The sequence below is a fragment of the Homo sapiens genome, chromosome 16 (genome assembly GCF_000001405.40).
Source record: "Homo sapiens chromosome 16, GRCh38.p14 Primary Assembly".
Taxonomy (NCBI): domain Eukaryota; kingdom Metazoa; phylum Chordata; class Mammalia; order Primates; family Hominidae; genus Homo; species Homo sapiens.
The window spans coordinates 56,013,142-56,014,500 of record NC_000016.10 but is presented as its reverse complement, the minus strand read 5'-3'; the positions used below and the strand labels follow the sequence as shown (position 1 = coordinate 56,014,500).

At 41.1% G+C, this 1,359-nt stretch overlaps 1 annotated feature.

The window, feature by feature from the left end:
• Positions 257-457: a silencer, noted in NCBI's record as "peak2606 fragment used in MPRA reporter construct". NCBI's record gives its function as "represses an SCP1 promoter by STARR-seq MPRAs in K562 erythroleukemia cells {active_cell/tissue: K562}" and the evidence as "EXISTENCE:reporter gene assay evidence [ECO:0000049][PMID:32103011]".

The following is a 1,359-nucleotide window of genomic DNA, read 5'->3' as shown; positions in this document are numbered from 1 at the left end:
GGATGGAGCCAGATGTACAAAGAGCCCTAAGGTCCCTGTCCTCACCTCCAGGGAATAAGGATTTATGAAGCATGGCTGGTGGGGAATTAGCCACAGGACACTAATGGAAATTCCAAGTATTGAATCCAACAAAACCTGTGAGAACTTAGATCCCTTTGATGAGCCTCATGTTGATGGGTTGCACCTTCAGATAGAAATGAAGAGGATCATTTCCTTAACACAGAAAAGGAAGAGGTGGTCAAGGTTCCTTTTAGAACCGCAGAGTCCTTCTCCATAGAGCAGGGCAGCCTGGTGAAGCAACCGTCAGCTGTAGGAAGGAAGACCGTCTCCAACATGACTGGGCACAAGGAGCTGTCCGTGGTGCTGCAGCGGCCTTTGTGTGAGCCCTCTTGGAAGATGTCTATTAGCTGCCATATGACAGGTGTTGTGTCAGGTAATTTAAGCACATTGCATTCTTTAATCCTCACAGCAACCCTGTACTGTTAGTGTTTTTATCAGCCTTGTTTCTACAGATGAAGAGACTAATGCTCAGAGCTTCACTTTCTGCCTTATCCAATTTGGATGTTATGAATAACATTTTCAGACATCAGATTTGAGGAATTCCAGCCTAACAAAGACAGCATATTTGTTAACACCCTTTCTCTGGTCTGGATAGAGATATTTTGTTTCTTTTGGAGGTGGAAGTGGTGGGAATTTACACCAAAGGCAACAGAGTTTAACTCATAGGAGAGTCTTTAAAGAGAAAGATTAAGTATTTAGACTTAATCTATTTTAGACTGTTGATTACAAAATCATTCAGGAACTTTAAATATGTTTGTTAAAAGAGAAGGAAAAATTAACCCATCCTAATTAGAAGGAAGCAAATCATGAGTTTTTGTAAAAATCAGCAAGACCTTTTTACTCTTTAACAATTTTCTCTTTTCTTTTTCTTGGGTATAAGCTGAAAAAAAAAAAAAGGCTCCAAGACAGAGAAGGTAGAGGGCAAATAAGGGCCTATCTTTCATTAATTTGGGAGAAATCTTTGCTAGGGCAGTTGAAGCCTTAATAAAGAAAAATCCATGTGGGCCTTTGATGCCAAACATCAGTAATTCTCAGGATCTAAAACATCATTTAGGCTAGGGAAAGGATTTTGCTCAAATCTCAATGTTACAAAAATTCAGGGGGTGTTCTTAATGCATGGCATTTAAGGTAGGACCAAGGCTGAGACCAAGTGAGGGGTTCTCAACCTGGGTCCCTAGACCTGGGGGATGGGGGAGGAAAGAAGTCCATGGATGGGCTCTGGACAGTCTATGCATACCTTAGAAATGTAGGCAAAATGTTGTTTATAAATGCATTTTTACAGGGAGGGGGTGATAGCTG